This window comes from Homo sapiens, chromosome 6 (assembly GCF_000001405.40).
Source record: "Homo sapiens chromosome 6, GRCh38.p14 Primary Assembly".
NCBI lineage: Eukaryota > Metazoa > Chordata > Mammalia > Primates > Hominidae > Homo > Homo sapiens.
Window position 1 is genome coordinate 14665606 of NC_000006.12, and position 17942 is coordinate 14683547.

General features: G+C 42.8%; 1 long non-coding RNA gene across 2 annotated transcripts in view, besides 1 other annotated feature; it reads right to left on the reverse strand.

The window, feature by feature from the left end:
• Nucleotides 1-17942, reverse strand: part of LOC101928354 (uncharacterized) — a 131186-nt gene that overhangs the window by 79302 nt on the left and 33942 nt on the right. The gene's annotated exons all lie outside the window — the stretch shown is intronic.
• Nucleotides 11041-11576: an enhancer, noted in NCBI's record as "H3K4me1 hESC enhancer chr6:14676877-14677412 (GRCh37/hg19 assembly coordinates)". NCBI's record gives its function as "activates a minimal SCP1, AML or CMV promoter by ChIP-STARR-seq in primed H9 embryonic stem cells {active_cell/tissue: H9 hESC(primed)}" and the evidence as "EXISTENCE:reporter gene assay evidence [ECO:0000049][PMID:30033119]".

The following is a 17942-nucleotide window of genomic DNA, read 5'->3' on the forward strand; positions in this document are numbered from 1 at the left end:
GCGGGCAGATCACCTGAGGTCGGGAGTTCAAGACCAGCCTGCCCAATATGGAGAAACCCTGTCTCTACTAAAAAAGAAAAAAATACAAAATTATCCGGGTGTGGTGGCGCATGCCTGTAATCCCAGCTACTCGGGAGGCTGAGGCAGGAAAATCGCTTGAACCTGGGAGGCGGAGGTTGCAGTGAGCAGAGATCGTGCCATTGCACTCCAGCCTGGGCAACAAGAGTGAAACTCCATCTCAGAAAAATATATATAGATATTATGTTTCATCATCCATTTTAAATATAAGTTGGACTTTCTCATACCAGAAGCATGTGAAACAGTTTCCAGTTCTCTGCCTCCTCCCAGTTCCTCAATGTGATGAATCCACGTATCTGCCTTACACAACTGCCTCCTGGCAGCCAACTTCCTATGGGACATATAGACACAGCCCACTTGACTCACCCTGACCCCGCACCCCAGGCGGACTATGCAGATATGACTCAACGACCACTTCTCAGTCATAACGTTAGCTGGTGGGACTCCTGCCTGCTTGCTCTAAATCCACCAATGACAACTCCTCAAGGGAAACCCATCTGGGTAATTCCCTGGATCCCAACAAAGGCTCTGGCCCACAAGTCCCTTCCCCAGTCTCCAACCCACTGGTCGAGCACATATGTCCCAGACAGCTCTCCTCTTCCCATTCGCCCTGAGGTTGCTGTCTTGTTCTCTCCAGGATCTGTAAATAATACACTGCTTCAGTTATTTCATGCATTTTCTTTTGCCTCCTCTGGGTCTTACCTGACTGACACACTCAAACCTAACTAACTTCTTTCCCATTCAGGGCTCTCCTAGAGCGTGGCTATCTTAGTAGGAATAAGCTAGACACAGGTCAGACGAGAGCACAAGTATAAGTGAGTTTCCTGTGAGAGGGACACCTGGTCACAGGTGGAGACACTCAGGCATGAGGCCGTCCACCAGGATAAAGAAGTACCTTGTGAAAGGCACATTGTAAACATCTACAACCAAATAACTACTCTCCAGAGAGAGACCTCCAGACCAAATTAGAAAGAAAAAAAATACAACATTGTTTAAGTCGATAATAGCACAATGAACCTGATAGACCCATCACCCACCTTCATTAATTATCAATACATGACCAATCTTAGTGCATCTGTGCACCACCTTTCTGGATCATGTTAAAGCAAATCCCAGGTATCGCATCATTTCATCTATAATTATCCAGCTATGTCTCTAAAGGAATGAGGACTTTTTAAACACATAGCCACAATACCATACTAACATCTTTAAAAAATAATTCCTCAATATCACCAAATATCCTGTCAAAGTTTACCTTTCCTCATGAATCTTAGAATTTTTTAACAATTTGTTTAAATTGGGATCCTATTGAGGTGCCACACCGTGCAATTTGTTGTTATGCCCCTTATTATAAGACTCTTTTAATTTATAGCTTGCCCCCATCATTGCTTCTTCCTTGCAATTTTTGTTCAATAAACCATGTCATTTGCCCTTAGCATTTGACACAGTCTGGATTTTGCTGATTGCATTCCTGCAGTGCTGGTTGCCTTGTGTGTGTGCATGTGTGTGCACACACGTGTGTGCCTCATATTTCTTGTCCTGTAAAATGAAATTAGATATAGAGGCTTAGTTCAGATCAGTTTTTTTTTTTTTTTTAGGGTTTTTTGGTTGTGTTTTTTTGGCAAAAACTTCAAAGGTGGTCGTATATACTCCCATCAGGAGTGACATAAAGTCTGGTTGTCCCTCGTTTTGTGATTAGCCGCCATTGGTGATGATCACCTATGGCAGTGTCTCAACCAAAGGTGATTTTACAGTCCCAGGGAACATGTGGCAATGTCTGGCGATGCTGGATGCTACCGGAATCCAGTGGGTAGAGGCCAGGGATGCTGCTGAATGTCCTGCAAAGCACAGAACAGCCCCCACCACAAAAGGATGATCTTACCCAAAATGTGACCCGTGCTAAGCTGAGAACCCCAGGGCTGGATCCATTTACTCATTTGGGGTTGCAAAATGTTATATTCTATTTCTGTCATTTACTTTTTATTTGTTAGCTGGCACACTTATATAAAGAAAAACTTCCTAATCAATTACTTGGTTTTCCTGAGGTGGAATTCATATGGTAAATGTAAGTAAGTGCTCAATTCTTTCATTTATCAGTTATCAAAATAATGAGGCAGTTTTCTAGACTCCTCCAAAGGTGACCAATGAGATTCTTTGTTTTTTTAAGAATCATTTATGAACTCATAGGTATAAAGGAATTGGATGTGTTGTAATCATTTGCAGTAATTATCTTACTGACGCCTAAATTGTCCTGTCTTTAGATAGTATGAGCTTCTTCAAATTGGTTCCTGAGTCTTTTTGGCACAGCCTATTGTGCTTTAAAAGCCTGCTTGCATTTTGGGATTATAAGATTCTCTAGGCACATCTTACATATTTGCTGTCCTAGACTGGAATCTACCACTTCTTCAAGGACCTTTGGTTACTTTAAGTGGTATTTAGTGATCATCACTGGGGCTTTAGGGGGACTCATACATTTTAAGACACACATAGCCCTCATAATATTAGATTTCACTCTAAGGATGGAATTTTCTGAGCTATATTTTACACACAGAAAAACTGGGACTCAAGAGAGTGGTTTTACCCCAACTCAAACTCAAAGCAAATGGAAAATTTTGAAAGCTGGCAATATATATCCACTCCTGTCTCCAGATTCTTTCTCTCCATCAGTAGGGCTGGGAATTGAACAGACTGTTTCCAAAGCCCAATAGTGAGGAGACAATGATAAAACAGACAGGATCTTGGAGACCAAGACAACATGGAACTGGAGTTCTGAGGCCCTCAGGCCTCTGGTCCCTCTGAGGCCAGGACTCTTTCAGGCCCCTTCTTCTTCGCTGAATTGGCAGCACAAATGAGTGTGAGCTGGTGTTTCCTGAAGGAAACCAGTACCTATGGGCAGAGACTATGAAAAAAAGGGTGCACTAAAAGTTCCATAAGAAGTGTTGGCCGGGCGCGGTGGCTCACGCCTGTAATTCCAGCACTTTGGGAGGCCAATGCAGGCAGATCACGAGGTCGAGAGATCGAGACCATCCTGGCTAACATGGTGAAACCCTGTCTCTACTAAAAATACAAAAATTAGCTGGGCATGGTGGTGGGCACCTGCAGTCCCAGCTACTTGGGAGGCTGAGGCAGGGGAATCGCTTGAACCTGGGCTAGCCTCGCAACAGAGTGAGATTCCGTCTCAAAAAGAAAGAAGGAAGGAAGGAAGGAAGGAAGGGATGGATCAACTTTACCTAAAATGTAGGGAGGTGAAGAAGGGATCCCCTTTGATATTAAAAAATCAAAGACATCATTTTACATTAAAAACAGATCGATGATGGAATAGCATGCAAGATTTACCATTTGAACGTTAAAAGATGTGACTTTGAAGAAATTCCAGGTCCCACTGAACTTGCTGCTTGACTCCTGGGATGCAGAGTCAGGGTCCTCTGCAATCAGCATATTTTGGGGGAGAAGGTGAGAAACTGTGGGGCAATTCTGAACCCACTCTGTGCCAGTAAAAGGGTCTCTTCCTTTATTATAAATTCAGGAAATTTAACTTACATTGAAGAGTCAAAAGATAGGTTATTTGTTTAAAGTCAAGAATTCTTTTATGTAGGGAATTGTTAGCCCTAAATTTCTCCTCTCTTAAAAACTTTAATATATAGGAGTTACCTATCTTGGGTTTAAGCAGAAGCATGTCAGTTTGAGAACAGCATTAAACCATTCTTGGAACAAGGCAGGTTATATATTAGATGTAATATATAGGTGGAAACACACCTGCTGTCTGCAAACACATCCTTCCTCTGCCCACCCAAAAAGGCCTGGATTTTTTTTTTTTTTTTTTTTTAAGCCCTGCAGCCACCTCTGAGTGAGCTCAATAAAAACCTCCACTGCCCAAGTGATGAAATCAGATTAGCATGCTCCAGCTCTGATGTTCTGTGCTGAGGGAATTGGAAGGAGTTGATAATGTGGAGTTGGCTATTTTGCATTTCTCAGTGACATCCTCTAATGAGCTGGCAATGCCCAACACCAGGCTGCTGTCTTGGAGAGATGAAAACAATACAGTGGTCATTTCACATCCTATCATCCTCATGACAACCCACGAGCTACCTACTCCTTGCCTTTGATTAAAATACACAGGATCGGCATGAGGACTGGAGAGCATGAGCCCCGAGAGGGAAAGGGACCAAAGAGGGCTCCATGGAGAAAAGGACGCAGCACCCTAAGGAAATACACATTTTTAAAAACCGCAGCAGTCAAGGGTGACTAGCCTTGGTGTTCCCTGAAATATGCATTATGGAGAACTGTGAGCTATGATGCCTGATTAACTCTCTCCAGTAGAACCGATGAATGGTTTTGCCAAGGAGATCCATTTCTATTTTGTGGTTCGATCCCTACAGCAGTGCAAATTACAGGGGTGAAGTTACCAAGGCAGAAATCCAGCTGCTGTACATTGGGACAACTGGACTAGCTGTTAAGATATTGAAATACTGCCTACTGGTTGACCAAAATACACTCCCCAAGTCCTTCTCCCACCTACCTTTCTTCCCCAAGCTGTCCCTACCCTTCTCTAAAACCCCCAGATGATCCCAACTCAGCAACTCTACTAACTGGGCAAGGGCTGGCACAAGAGGAGCCTGCCAGTGCCCTGACTTAGCATGATAGGTGGCTTCCATTCTCATGGGTCAATGCCACTGCCAGGCTCGCTGTGAAGCAGTCTCCATATTTGATTAGGAAGCCCCATTAGACTTCCTAGCACTGCTGAGCCTTCTCAGAACCCTGCCAACAACCCACAGGGACAGGTCAGGGCCCTGCAGGGTCGTGCTGCTCACCCATATCCTCCTATCCCCCATCCTTGCCTCCTACAGAAGGAGTGCCCACCGGCCCCGGTGGAAGAACAAAGGAAGTAAAGGGCTGCAATCATTCTGGCTCCCAGAGGCCTGGATAACCTTCAACATGCTTGGCAGGCTTATCATTAGGATTTTTTTTTACCGCCCTTTCCTTGTCGCCAGCCCTCTTTAAGCTTCCTAAATTAATAATGATGAAGTTCTTTAAACCATATCTCCAGTCTTTGTTTTTGATGATTTTCGCTCTCTGGGGCCTTTTTCTCCCCCTGTGGAAGCCGTTTACCATTCTCACCTTCATTTTTGTCCATTCTTCTCAGATATCCACAGTGATAATCACCGATTAGGTCATTTTAAAAAGGAAACACAATTAAAAAAAGAAAGCAAGCCTCATTTAGGCACTGCTGAGTCAAACATCGGGCCAGGAAACAATGTGAAATGTCATGGGCTATTTTTCCCAGTGAGAGGACAGATGAAGATGAAGAGGATGACGTGTCTCTATAGGATCACGTATAACATCAAGCATGTAGCAGACAAGGGGACACGGGGGTCAAGACCAACACTTGAACCTGAGCTTGAGTTTGTCTGTGTAACGATGGGGGAAATGTGCCCCTAAAGCAATCAGATCATCCCAAGTAGGTAACTCTCTGCTTTGGGATATGCATCCATCCTTTCTCCGCAATTAGAAAGATGAAACTACCAGGTTTAACAAAGTCATTCTTCGTTCTCCTCCTCCGACCTACTTCCTTTGTATTTCTGCATCATTAGACTTTTCTTATCTCACTGAAGAAACCACAGAGAAGGAGTGTTCCAAAGGACCTTGGGCGGCCCACCTGGCAAGGGAGAGCTTCACTGTGCAACTTCAGCCTTGGGCAGAAGCCAGGGATTCCAGCTGTCAACCTTCCAACCCAGAAGGGGAGTGCTGTCAGCTGAAGTGGAAAACCAGAAAGTCTTAAAGAAAGGAGGATGTATTTAAGAATCACTCACCACTCTGCAACAGGATTTAGCTTTTCCAATTCAATCCAATTCAAGAGAGATGTGTCAGAACCTGTGCACAGTGAGGGAATTTTAGAATTGCAGAAGACAAGCTCCCCCTCAGGGAATAGCTCATTGTTTGGCCAGAAGACAGCTAAAGCTAGCCAGTCTGTAAAACAGTCATGATTGTAATGATATGTGTTCACCAAATCCAGTTCATTCTCTTGCAGGGCACTCAGCTAAACACTCCTGAGTATCCCCTGCAGTGCCTGGTGTGTGAGCTCTGGCTAAGGGAATATGGACAGGAGAGTTAAATGCCACTTCCAAGCCTGACCTCCAAAACCCTTCCCACAGTCTCTCACATGTTGTCTCTTCCCCATTAACCAGCAGAGGACTCTGGTAGTGGAGCTTAACTGTGCTCCACTAGCAGGACCAGAGCTAAGATTCTGCTAGGTAAAGAAGAGGGAACTGCAGGCACCCTGGCCCAGAGGCCTGACACCTGATGCAGCCAGGAGAATAAAGGTAAAGAGCCCCACAGGAGAGAAAGGATTCTGAGTCTCTGAAAAACTGCAAAGAGAAGAGCCTCCCAGCCCAACCCACACTCACACACACACATACACAAGCTGCACTGGGCTGTGATATGAATAAAAGATAATCACATTGTGTTAACCCACTGAGATTTGGGGGTTGTTTGTTACAGTGGCTAACGTTACTTACTCTAGCTAACATACTCTTAGGTTTTATTAACAGATGGGATGAGATAATGCATGCAAAGTGCCCAGTTCTATGTCTGATATACAGTAGGTCCCTAGCATAGCACTCTACCTGAAACATGGTAGGTGCTCAGTAATTAAGGGTTATAAAAAGTCAACCAGTTGCTTTTCTTAGAGGCCCTAGAGACAGCATCGTAGCCAACATGAGCCTTTTGTAGCTGATGAGAAAGACAAAGCTCTCAGTATGGAAAACCAGTGAAAACACAGGGACAGATCTACAGGGAAAGTGGTTAGAGAAAAGGCACACGGGGAAAATTTTTTATAGGAATAGTCATCTGCTATGAAGTGAATGTTTGTGTCCCCCTGAAATTCATATGCTGAAATCTAAATCTCTAATGCCCTGATTTGAGGAGATGGAGGCTTTGGGAGGTAATTAGGTCATGGGGATGAAGCCCTTGTGAATGGGGTTAGTGTTATTTATAAGAAGAAACAGGAGAGCGTGATCTCACTCTCTGCTCTCCTCCACATGAGGACACAGCAAGAAGACACCCTCTCCAAACCAGGAAGTGAGCCATCACCAGACACCAGACCCACCAGCACCTTGATCTTGGACTTCCCAGCCTCCAGTGGGCAATAAATGTTTGTTGTTTAAGGCACCCAGTCTGTGATAATTTATTGTAGCAGCCACATCTAAGACATCACCATATACATTTTCATCTGACTTCTCCTTCTGGACCCTGGTAAATACTCCATCAAATCAGTCAGCTCTCTCGAGTCCCCTTTTCCTTGCCTTAGCCCTACCAAGGCCCTGAGTCTTTCTCTCTCTTGCATGGTCTAAGTGTTCCTCAGTTTTGGCTGCTTCTTCCCCTAGAACAAGACCCCCTTCCCAGCCTTTGCCTGGCCCCTGCTGAACGTAGCCACCCTGGCTTATTTATAAAGTAGCTACTATGTGCAAGGTCTGGCACTAAATAGGTACCAAGCAAGGACGGTGAGAGTGGTCAGCCTTGGGTGCAAAGCAACAAGAGGGCACATTGTAGAAAATGTAAACACCAGGATGACACTAAGTGTCAGTATGCTTTTTATGATCACTGTATGAAGGCAATCCTAAATGATGTCAGCAACGCAGACTACTTCCTGCTGGGATGACTCCCCCTCATAACCCACACAGCCTTTGGAATGTCATTGGAGAAAAAGTCTAAAGCTACCTAGTCCCTGCCCTCAAGTTGCCTGTAGCTCAGCAGCAGAGAATGACAGCTAAATGAATCAAGAATGTGAGGAGCAACAAATGTCAGGGAAGGCTTTGCCAAAGAAATGGTAGTGGAGCTTAACTGTGCTCCGCTAGCAGGACCAGAGCTAGGATTCTGCCAGGTAAAGAAGAGGGAACTGCAGGTACCCTGGCCCAGAGGCCTGACACCTGATGCAGATAGGAGACTAAAGGTATAATAGTTCCCTGTGGCTGGAGGTAAAGAGGCACTGGGCAAAAAGACCCCTGCAGATGATCAGAGCAGAGAGGCTGGTAGAAATCAATTCCAGAAGGGCCTATATCCTGTTGGTAATGACGAACCAGCAAGGCATTTTTCTTTCTTTTTTAAAACTTTATTGAGATAGAATTCAGTTCAATGGCCTTTTTTCTTCATTTCTCACCAAAATCAATTTTAGAATCTTTTCACTGCCCCAAAAGAAACCCTGTACCCCTTTGCTGTCACTTTCCAATCCTACTCTTGGGCACAAACATAGGAGCAGCAAAAGGTTTTTTAACAGAAGAATCATAAAAGTCTATTTTCATTTTTAAAAGAGCCCTCCTTGACCTGCCACTGCCCAAGGCCTGGCAGGGCACATGCAGACACAATGCTGTGGTCTGACTGTGTCCTCCAGATTTCATATGTTGGAAACTTAGCCCCCAATGTGGCAGTATTGAAAGGTGGGGCCTTTAGGGGGTGATTGGATTATGAAGAATTGTGCCCTCAGGAATGGATTAATCCATTTGTAGATTAATGGGTTAATGGATTAATGGGTTATCATGGGAAGGAAACTGCTGACTCTATTACAAGAGGAAGAGAGACCTGAGCGAGCCCATTAGCACACTCAGCCTCTGCCACATGATGCCCTGCAGAGCATCCCTTGCCTGTCCACGCTCTGCAGAGGCCTCACAAACAAGAAGGCCCTCACCAGCTGCAGCTTCTCAACCTGGGACTTCTCAGCCTCCATCACTGTAAGAAATAAATTCCTTTTCTTTATAAATTACCCCGTTTCAGGTATTCTAAGTAACAGAAAATTCATTCGTACCCATACTCACTACTTCTTGCATCATCCTCAGGATGTAAGGACCTACCTGGGGCTCCAGGACTCTCTTTCCTCACCAGCTGCAGCCTCTCAAGTGCTTGCACCTGCACACCCAGCCCACCCGCACCCAGACCCTGGTTTCCTGCCTTGGCAAGAAGCACGTAAGGAGAACATAGCTGGAAAGGTTTTTGCCTCAGGCAGGGTTGACACATTTGGGTTCTGCTTCCTGGTGACTGAACTTAGCACAGCATCCTCTGAGATTCCCTACCTCTTGGCTTGCTCATTACTTCAGAGAGTTAACTTCCTCCCCCTCCAAACCGTCCTTCCTTACCCATGCTGTCAAATCATACTTCTCCCCCTTCTGCAAATGAACAAAACCTACCATAGCAGTAATCACAGGATTCCCTGTAGTTTCCTCGGGACCCCTGCAGGGGAGGTATTAATTGTCCTCATTTTTTAAATGGAGACACTGAGGCTCAGAGAGTTCACATGTTGTTCTTAATGCTACACCACAGGTAAGGGGCAGAGCCAAACTTTCAGCTGCAGGGGTAAGATACTGTCATCGCTTAGGACTGCTTTCAGCTGCATGTAACAAAACTGATATCACAGCTTAGTCAAATGGGGATGATGTTTTCTCACCTAACAGTAACTCCTAGTGAGGTACTGATACAGCACATCTGTGATGTCAGCCAAATCTCAAGTTCCTTGTGTTTTTCAGTTTTTGCCATCCTTAGTACGAGACTTTCATCTTCATGATCAAAATTTTTACTTATGACTCTACATTTTTATTAGAAAAGCAATGGCTTTCCTAGAAGCCCCATTCAATAGCCTTCTCTTATATCTCATTGGTTTATTAAGAATATGTAGCATTCCTGCTACAAACAAAACTAGCATTCATTATTACCAAGCGAGAGAGGAGATAGGATACCGGGTAGGGAACCTACGGTGTCAATGCATTTTCCTCCTGGCCACACCACCTCACCTCTAAACAGAATCCAGCCCCTCTGCATCAGGCACTATTGCCTGGCCACCCACTCCTGCTTGCAAAGATACGCTGGGGGTAAGCCACAAAGTGGAGCCTCTCTTGATCATTAGGGTTATTGGCTCACTGCACATTCCCATGGAAAGGAGAGAGGTGGGTCATTTCCTTTGGTTCAGCAGCTGGTCCTCACTTTGGGAAGAGTTAGAAAGCCCTAGGAATGTGCCAGGCCCTCAACTTTGCGGCAAAAATCACAGCTTCTCTAGGCCTTAATGGAGAAGGATCTGATACACTGATTTCCAGGCCTGCCAACAACCCCTCCTGCAGAAACTTCAGAATTTCAAGAGGACTCAAGTATAAGTGATGTATTAATCACCATCTCGAGATGAATAGAAAAGATCTGAGCAGCATTAACTTGGAGTTCAGGGGAGGGGGACAAGGGAAGCGTGGGTGAGATGAGGAGAAGAGGAGCCTCTTAGGTGACAATGAAATACAGCGAGTACTAGAAACATCCAAGTTCATGGGGGCGTTAACTTTACAGCAGATGCGTCTATCTTGTCTTCCAGTCCCTCCAGTTGAATGGGCCCTTGTGGCCAAGGAAGCTTGAACATGTGATATTTGACAATTAAAAAAAGAGCTTTGGCAGGGTCAGTCACCCCCATGAAGCAAGCCAGGCCAATGCTCCTGAGGCCAGGTCAACAGGGAGGTGATGAAGTGTTAAAACACTCTCCCCATGTCCCACCCTTCTAAACAAGGCATAATATGAACATTAACTCAGCGTGCTCTCTCTGGGTTGGGACTGCCCGTCCCACTCACTGATGATTAAACCTATGAGAAGTCTTGCTAAACATTAAATCATCTTGGATTTTAAGCAAACACCCTTCAAAACTGAGTCCCTGGAGGAGAAAGTGTAACTTTACACAGGAAGTCCTGTGTTGTGGAAAGAGTGCAGGCTTCAGGGGCAGCCCCTGGGATCTAGACTGGCCATGAGTCTCTCTGGCCATCCATTGGTCTCCTCACCTGTAAAATGAGAAGGGTTTGAATTAACAGAGATTAGGGATCATTTCTGGTTCTGATTTTATGTGTTCTATTGCACTAAAATACTCCGGTATTTTCTTTTAGTATGAATTTCTTCAGAAAATGTACATTAATCAAAGATATTCATGACAATAACATTTGAATAGTTACTACCACCAGCTCTTACAAAGCACTTTTACCTGTTGACTCTTCATCCTCGCAGGAATCCTATTGCAGGGTACTATTGACAGATCCAGTCTACTGACGAGGGAGCGAACGCAGATGAGTAGACAACCACTCCATTCCCCCTTGCGCGTCTCAGAGGCATCTCCAATGGAAGAAGTCTGAAACTGAACTCCTGACTCCCCCTCCCCACCCCACCCCACCCAAACCTACTCCTCTCCTCATCTTCCCTACTCCATCAATGGCAACCCCGTTCTTCATAATATCCAGGCAGAAAGCTTTCAACCTTCTCCTGCCTCTGATTCATCTCAAGTCATGTCAATTTCGCCCTCAAAATATGTCCAGAACCTACTGTTTCTTTACCACCCCTGCGTGACCACTTGGGCCTAAGCCTCCATCGTGTGTTGCCTGGGCCATTGCGAGAGCCTTTGGAGTGGGCTCTCTGTTTCTACCCTTCCGTTTTCCATCACACATACACACATACACGCATGCACACGTACACACACGCACGCACACGCGCACACACATGCACACGCACACATGCACGCATGCACGCACACACATGCACGCACACATAGTATATTCTCTATACAGTAGCCAGAATCATCCTTTGTGATATGTGAGATTATGCCATTCCTCTGCTCAAAACTTTCAGTGGCTTCCCACCTCACTCAAGATAAAATTCAGTGATCTTACCCTTGCCTACAAGGTCCTCCAAGGTCTCCCCACACCCACCTGTTTGCTGTCCTCTCTCGCCCACCTCCCCACCCACGCCACCTCCCCAACCCTTCCGCCCCAGGCTCAGTCTCCCCTGCCACACCAGCCCCTTTACCCTTCTCAAACACAACAGGCCACTCCCTGTCTCAGTCCTGGCCTGGTCAGCCCTCCCCACAGATATGCAAATGGATTTTCATTCAGGTCTCTGCACCTCACCAAAAAGACTTTCCCTGACTACATAAAGCAGCACCTCTCCTATCTGTGTCCCCATAGCTTGGTTGATTTTTCTTCTTTGGATGCGTCTCTCCTGACACATTTTGTACCATGTTTCATTTATTGCCCTTTTCCTCCTAGACTTTGTTGCTTGTGCTCACTGTTGAATCCCCAATGCCTAGAACAGTACCTGGCATTTTAAAAGTCTCTCAATAAATATAGGTAGTCTTTGTTATCTGAATCCAATCCTTCTCTGAAATTCTACCACAAAGTGAACTTTTGGCGGCAAGAGCTTATATTCTATTACATCAAAGAAAAAAATAATAATGCATTCTCTATATCACCTATATTCTTAATCACCCATAAGACAATCCACTGTGGATTTCTGCATGATATGATACAAGGCATTTAAAACACTAATTACCTAATTATTTGACACTTAGTGAGCTCATTAGTGGGTGTGTTTGTATGTAATATGCTATAATACTGAAAGAATTACCTTTTCCTTCTACACTGAAAAAAGTCATGTATTGTAAAAAATAAAATGATTTCCTAAAGATATGTAATGAATGCAAATATAATTACCAAAATGAATAAACATTTTTAAACAATTATTTACTGAATGAAGAGTTACTTGTGTGCAAACTGGACATCACTGTTACTGTTAGGACAGTGGAGAGAGCTAAATCAAAGTGAGCTGGGGAAAAAGCAAATGAAACCATCAACACCCAAGGTTCATCCATTTCCAAATCGAGGAATGTCCAACTCATTCCTCGATAGTAGGCACCTCCTCTTCTTGGCATTCAGGATGCTGCAAGTGAATAGAGGTCTGTGAATCTTTGTCAAAATCTGTAAATGAGGCAATGAGGTTTTTTTTTTTTAAACAACACTCAAAATAGACATCTGTTCTAACTATGTGATTATATAATTTATTATCTACACAGAAATAATTTTGAATGTGAAAAAGAGAAAAATAAAATTGTATATATATATTTTTAGATCATAAATTTTTTATTATTATTATACTTTAAGTTCTGGGACACATGGGCAGAACGTTCAGGTTTGTTACATAGGTATACATGTGTCATGGTGGTTTGCTGCACCCATCAACCCATCATCTAGCTTTTAAGCCCTGCATGCATTAGGTATTTGTCCTAATGCTCTCCCTCCCCTTGCCCCCCACCCCCCAACAGGCCCCGGTGTGTGATGTTCCCCTCCCTGTGTCCATGTGTTCTCCATTGTTCAACTCCCATTTATGAGTGAGAATATGCAGTGTTTGGTTTTCTGTTCCTGTGTTAGTTTGCTGAGAATGATGGTTTCCAGCTTCATCCATGTCCCTGCAAAGGACATGAACTCAAAATTATATTTTTAAAGCATGCATTTATAGATTGACAAATTGGTTTTGTACAACAGTAGGTATATAAAATACTTATAGTCAAAAATTATCTTCAAAGGGAAAATCATTTCTAAAAATAAAAAAATCAATGTACATTAAAGTACAGGTTTTTTTAAGTTATAGGTTGATTTGCTTAAACATAAAAATAATATAAACAGGAGGCAAAAGAAAATGCATGAAATAACTGAAGCAGTGTACTATTTTGGTTCATAATTATCATAATCAGTTTTGAAGTCATATCTATATTTGATATCATGTCACTGGTATCTTTCTTCTTTTTTTTTTTCAGACGGAGTTTCACTCTTGTCACCCACGCTGGAGTGGAGTGGCGTAATCTCCGCTCACTGCAACCTCTGCCTCCTGTATTTAAGCCATTCTCCTGCCTCAGCCTCCTGAGTAGCTGGGATTACAGATGCGCGCCACCACGCCCAGCTAATTTTTATTATTTTTTTAGTAGAGATGGAGTTTCACCATGTTGGCCAGGCTGGTCTCGAACTCCTGACCTCAGATGATCCACCCGCCTCGGCCTCCCGAAGTGCTGGGATTCCAGGCATGAGCCACTACTCCTGGGCCCATCACTGGTATCTTTCTAAAGAAAGCATTTGTGATATATGTATTTTTAATTTTTTCGTAAAATTACTTGCAGTCTTTTTCAAAGTTGAACTTTATAGTTTGTAAATCTGAAATTACTGATACTGTCAACTGACTCTTCTCAGATGACCATAGTATTTTTAATAAAGAAAATACTCTTTCTACAAGTGCTGCAGCACCTTGTAAGCTAAGAATTAATTCTGGTCAACAGAAGACATTCCCAGTTCTATTTCTTTTTTCTTCCTGAAGTATGTTAATATTTCAGTTCAAATCTTTTCACGGGTACCATCTTTTTATCTCCATACAGAGAAACTTTCACAAAGATTTTACAAGGCAAAACTCATCAAACAAGTTGTTTCTATTTAGGATTTTTTTAAATGTTTTGCCAAATTTAGATGCTTAAAAATCATAGACCTCTGAATTTTATTCCATTCCAGTATAGAACATAAATTTATCCAATTAAATATAAAAGTTCCATCAAAATATCCTTCCCATAAATCAAGATATTTCAAAGCATAACTGTTTAATCTCAAATGTAACTTATTTAAGTTGTTTATCCTTTGGCTTTGTAGGTCGAAGGTTAGTTTTCAATAATTACATTTTCCTAAAAGCTTCAAGAGCTGAAGTCTTTTGGCTCACCATTCCTTGACTACTTGATGAAAAATTACCAACCAGTTTTGAACAAAAAGCAAGCACAATTTAGAGGCCTCGTTTTTTTTTTTAAAAAAAAAGTAAAAGGTCACTGTATATTGCAGTATGCTTGAGCTGATTTACAAATAATCCTTCAAAGGTTCAAACATTTCTAAAATCTAAGAACATGCAGGAGGGAAGAAAAAAAGCACATGCCACCAGGCTGCAGCGTTTTTTTAATTCAACATCGTCTCTATCACAAATATTTTGTAGTTCAGTTTCTCTGTGTATAAATAAAAATACTTATAATGTTTGTCAACTATAGCTTCTATTTTGCTGGTAGACTATCACAGCTTGTTTGGATGCAATTATGAACCCTGAACGCACTACATCTAATTCCAAATATATTTCTGTTCCATAGATTTCTTAATTTAGTAATAACACTATTTTTCCCATGATTCTGTACTCCATGAAAATCTATATTTATAGTACCTCCTCCATCTTAATTGTTGAATGTTTTAAGTGAAGTTATAAATTACAGTATGAGAGGCTATATCTTTGACAGGATGAACTTTCAAAAGCTTTCCTTTGAGTCCTTGGGCTCAAAAAAAAAATCAAACCATTATTTAAATTAACTGATTTTCTCTACAAGAAATGGATCTAAATCTGCATCGTTTAACTGTTTATAAAAATCTTCTTCTACTGATAGAGCCATTCCGTTAGTAGCTATCACTTTTCTTTCCCAATGCTCACAAGAAAAAGTGAAATTAAAATTAAGCAAAATTAATTTAGAAGAAAAAAATCACTACCTAAAAAGTCATACTACCCAGAGTGATATATAAACATAATTGCTTAAATTATCAGCTCGGTCATAATCTTCCTAAAATAGCTATTAGTTTTTGAAATAGCTTTTCCATAACAATTTGTCTTCTGGGTGTACCTGTGGTCAGTGATATGACTACAGCCACTGAGTGTATGGCAAATGTTGACAAGCATTTCTGCAAGTTGTACATCATCATCAACATTCTTTAGAAAAGATTATTTCATACTTAATTTTTTATGAAACATGCACTTTTTTGTTGTTGCTGTTGTTGAGACAGAGTCTCGCTCTGTCGCCAGGCTGGAGTGCAGTGGCGCGATCTTGGCTCACTGGAATCTCCGCCTCCAGGGTTCAAGCGGTTCTCCTGCCTCAGCCTCCCGCATAGCTGGGACTATAGGCACCCACCACCATGCCCGGCTAATTTTTGTATTTTTAGTAGATACGTGATTTCACCATATTGGCCAGGCTGGTCTCGAACTCCTGACCTTGTGATCCGCCTGCCTCGGCCTCCCGAAGTACTGAGATTATAGGCATGAGCCACCGTGCCCAGCCCTAAACATGCACTTTTTTTTTTTTTTTTTTTTAGCTCAATGCTGCTGAAAGGGATTTGGCTTTGCACAAAGCAAAATTAGAAAAAAAACAAAACAAAACAGTATTATCACAATAAGGTAAATACATAGGTTATAGATGTATAATATATATTAGATGACAAACTACTGACGTAGTAACTGCAAGAGCATTCAGACCATTCTGTCTGCGCTCCACAGTGGAACTTTTGGCCTCTATTTCTCATGCATGTTTCACATACACCAAACCTAAGACATCTCATATTTCCCTGTGTCAGCAATGACTCCATGTCCTGGTGGCTCTACCATCTCTGACAGGCAGAGGCTCGGGCCATGGACAGCGGAGCCAGCAGGGGCAGCACCAATAACTTAGACCAGAAGGAGTTCATTGTCCCCGGCCACTGGGTTCTGAGTGAAACAGACTCTCCCTCAGAGCCCTCTCCTGAAATCTCCTCATCGTGTGATCTTGGACATGTTACTTAACCTTAACATGCCTCAGTTTCTTCATTTGGAAAACAAGTATGATATTATTCGTCCTTAAAAAGGCATGAAGTGGTGATACATGCTACCCCATGAAGAAACCTCAAAAACATGAGGTTTAGCTAAGTGAAAGAAGCCAGACGCAAAAGGTAACATATGATATGCTTTCATTTCTATGACATGTCCAGAGTAGGCAAATCCACAGAAATGGGAAGCAGATTGTGGTTTGTGGTTACCAGGGCTAAGGGAGAGGAGAATGAGGAGTCAACTGCTTAATGGGTGTTGTAGGTTGAATTGCGCTCCCCCGAAAAGCTACGTTGAAATTTTAATCATTAAGTACCTCAGAATGTGACATTATTTGGAAATAGGGTTTTATGGAGGTAATCAAGTTAAAATGAGGTCACTAGTATGGTCCCTAATCTAATATGAATGGTGTCCTTGTAAAAAGGGGAAATTAGGACAGAGAAAGATGAACAGAGGCAGAGGGAAGACAAGGTGCAGACACACAGACAGAACACTATTGGGAGATGGAGGCAGAGACTGGACTGATGCCGCGGGAAGCCAGGGATCACCATGATTGCTGTTCACACCAGAAGCCAGGAAGAGGTGAGGAAAGATTCTACTCAGAGTCTCAGGGAGCATGGCCCTACAGACACCTTGGTTCCAGACTTCCAGCCTGTAGAACTGTGAGACAATACGTTTCCACTGTTTTAAGCCACTAACACAACAAATACAGGGTTTCCTTGTGGGGGTGATGAAAATGTTCTGGAACCTCATAGAAGTAGTGGTTGAACAATGTTATGAATGTATTAGATGTTGTTGAATTTTTCATGTAAAAAGGGTTAATTTTATGTTAAGTGGATTTCAACTCAGTAAACTCACACATGTGCACACACACATATATCATCTAGTGTGGTAGTGTGGTGTTGTAAGTATTCAATGAGTCAACTCATAGGAATTTAGAACAGTCCCTGAGATACAGTAATCCCTCAATAAGTGTTAGTTAGTATTACTATTTTCAAGAGTCTCTCTCCAAACTTCCCACCTCTAGCCATCAAATAATCAGATAGCAGCAACTAATTCCCTCACCTGTTTTCCTTTTATGCAGAGTATTTTAGCTCTCTCCTGCCAGACCACGCCATGTATATTAGGGTTCTCATAGAAGAACAGAACTAATAGGATACACACACACACACACACACACACACACACACACACACACACATATATATAAAGGGGAGGTTATTAAGTATTAATTTACAGGATCACAAGGCCCCACAATAGGCTGTCTGCAAGCCCTGAGGAGCGACAAGAGCCAGTCCAAGTCCCAAATCTGAAGAACTTGGAGTCTGATGTTCAAGAACTTGGAGTCTGATCCAGCACGGGAGAAAGATGTAGGCTGGGAGGCTGGGCCCATCACATCTCTTCATGTTTTTCTGCCTGCTTTACATTTGCTGGCAGTTGATTAGATGGTACCC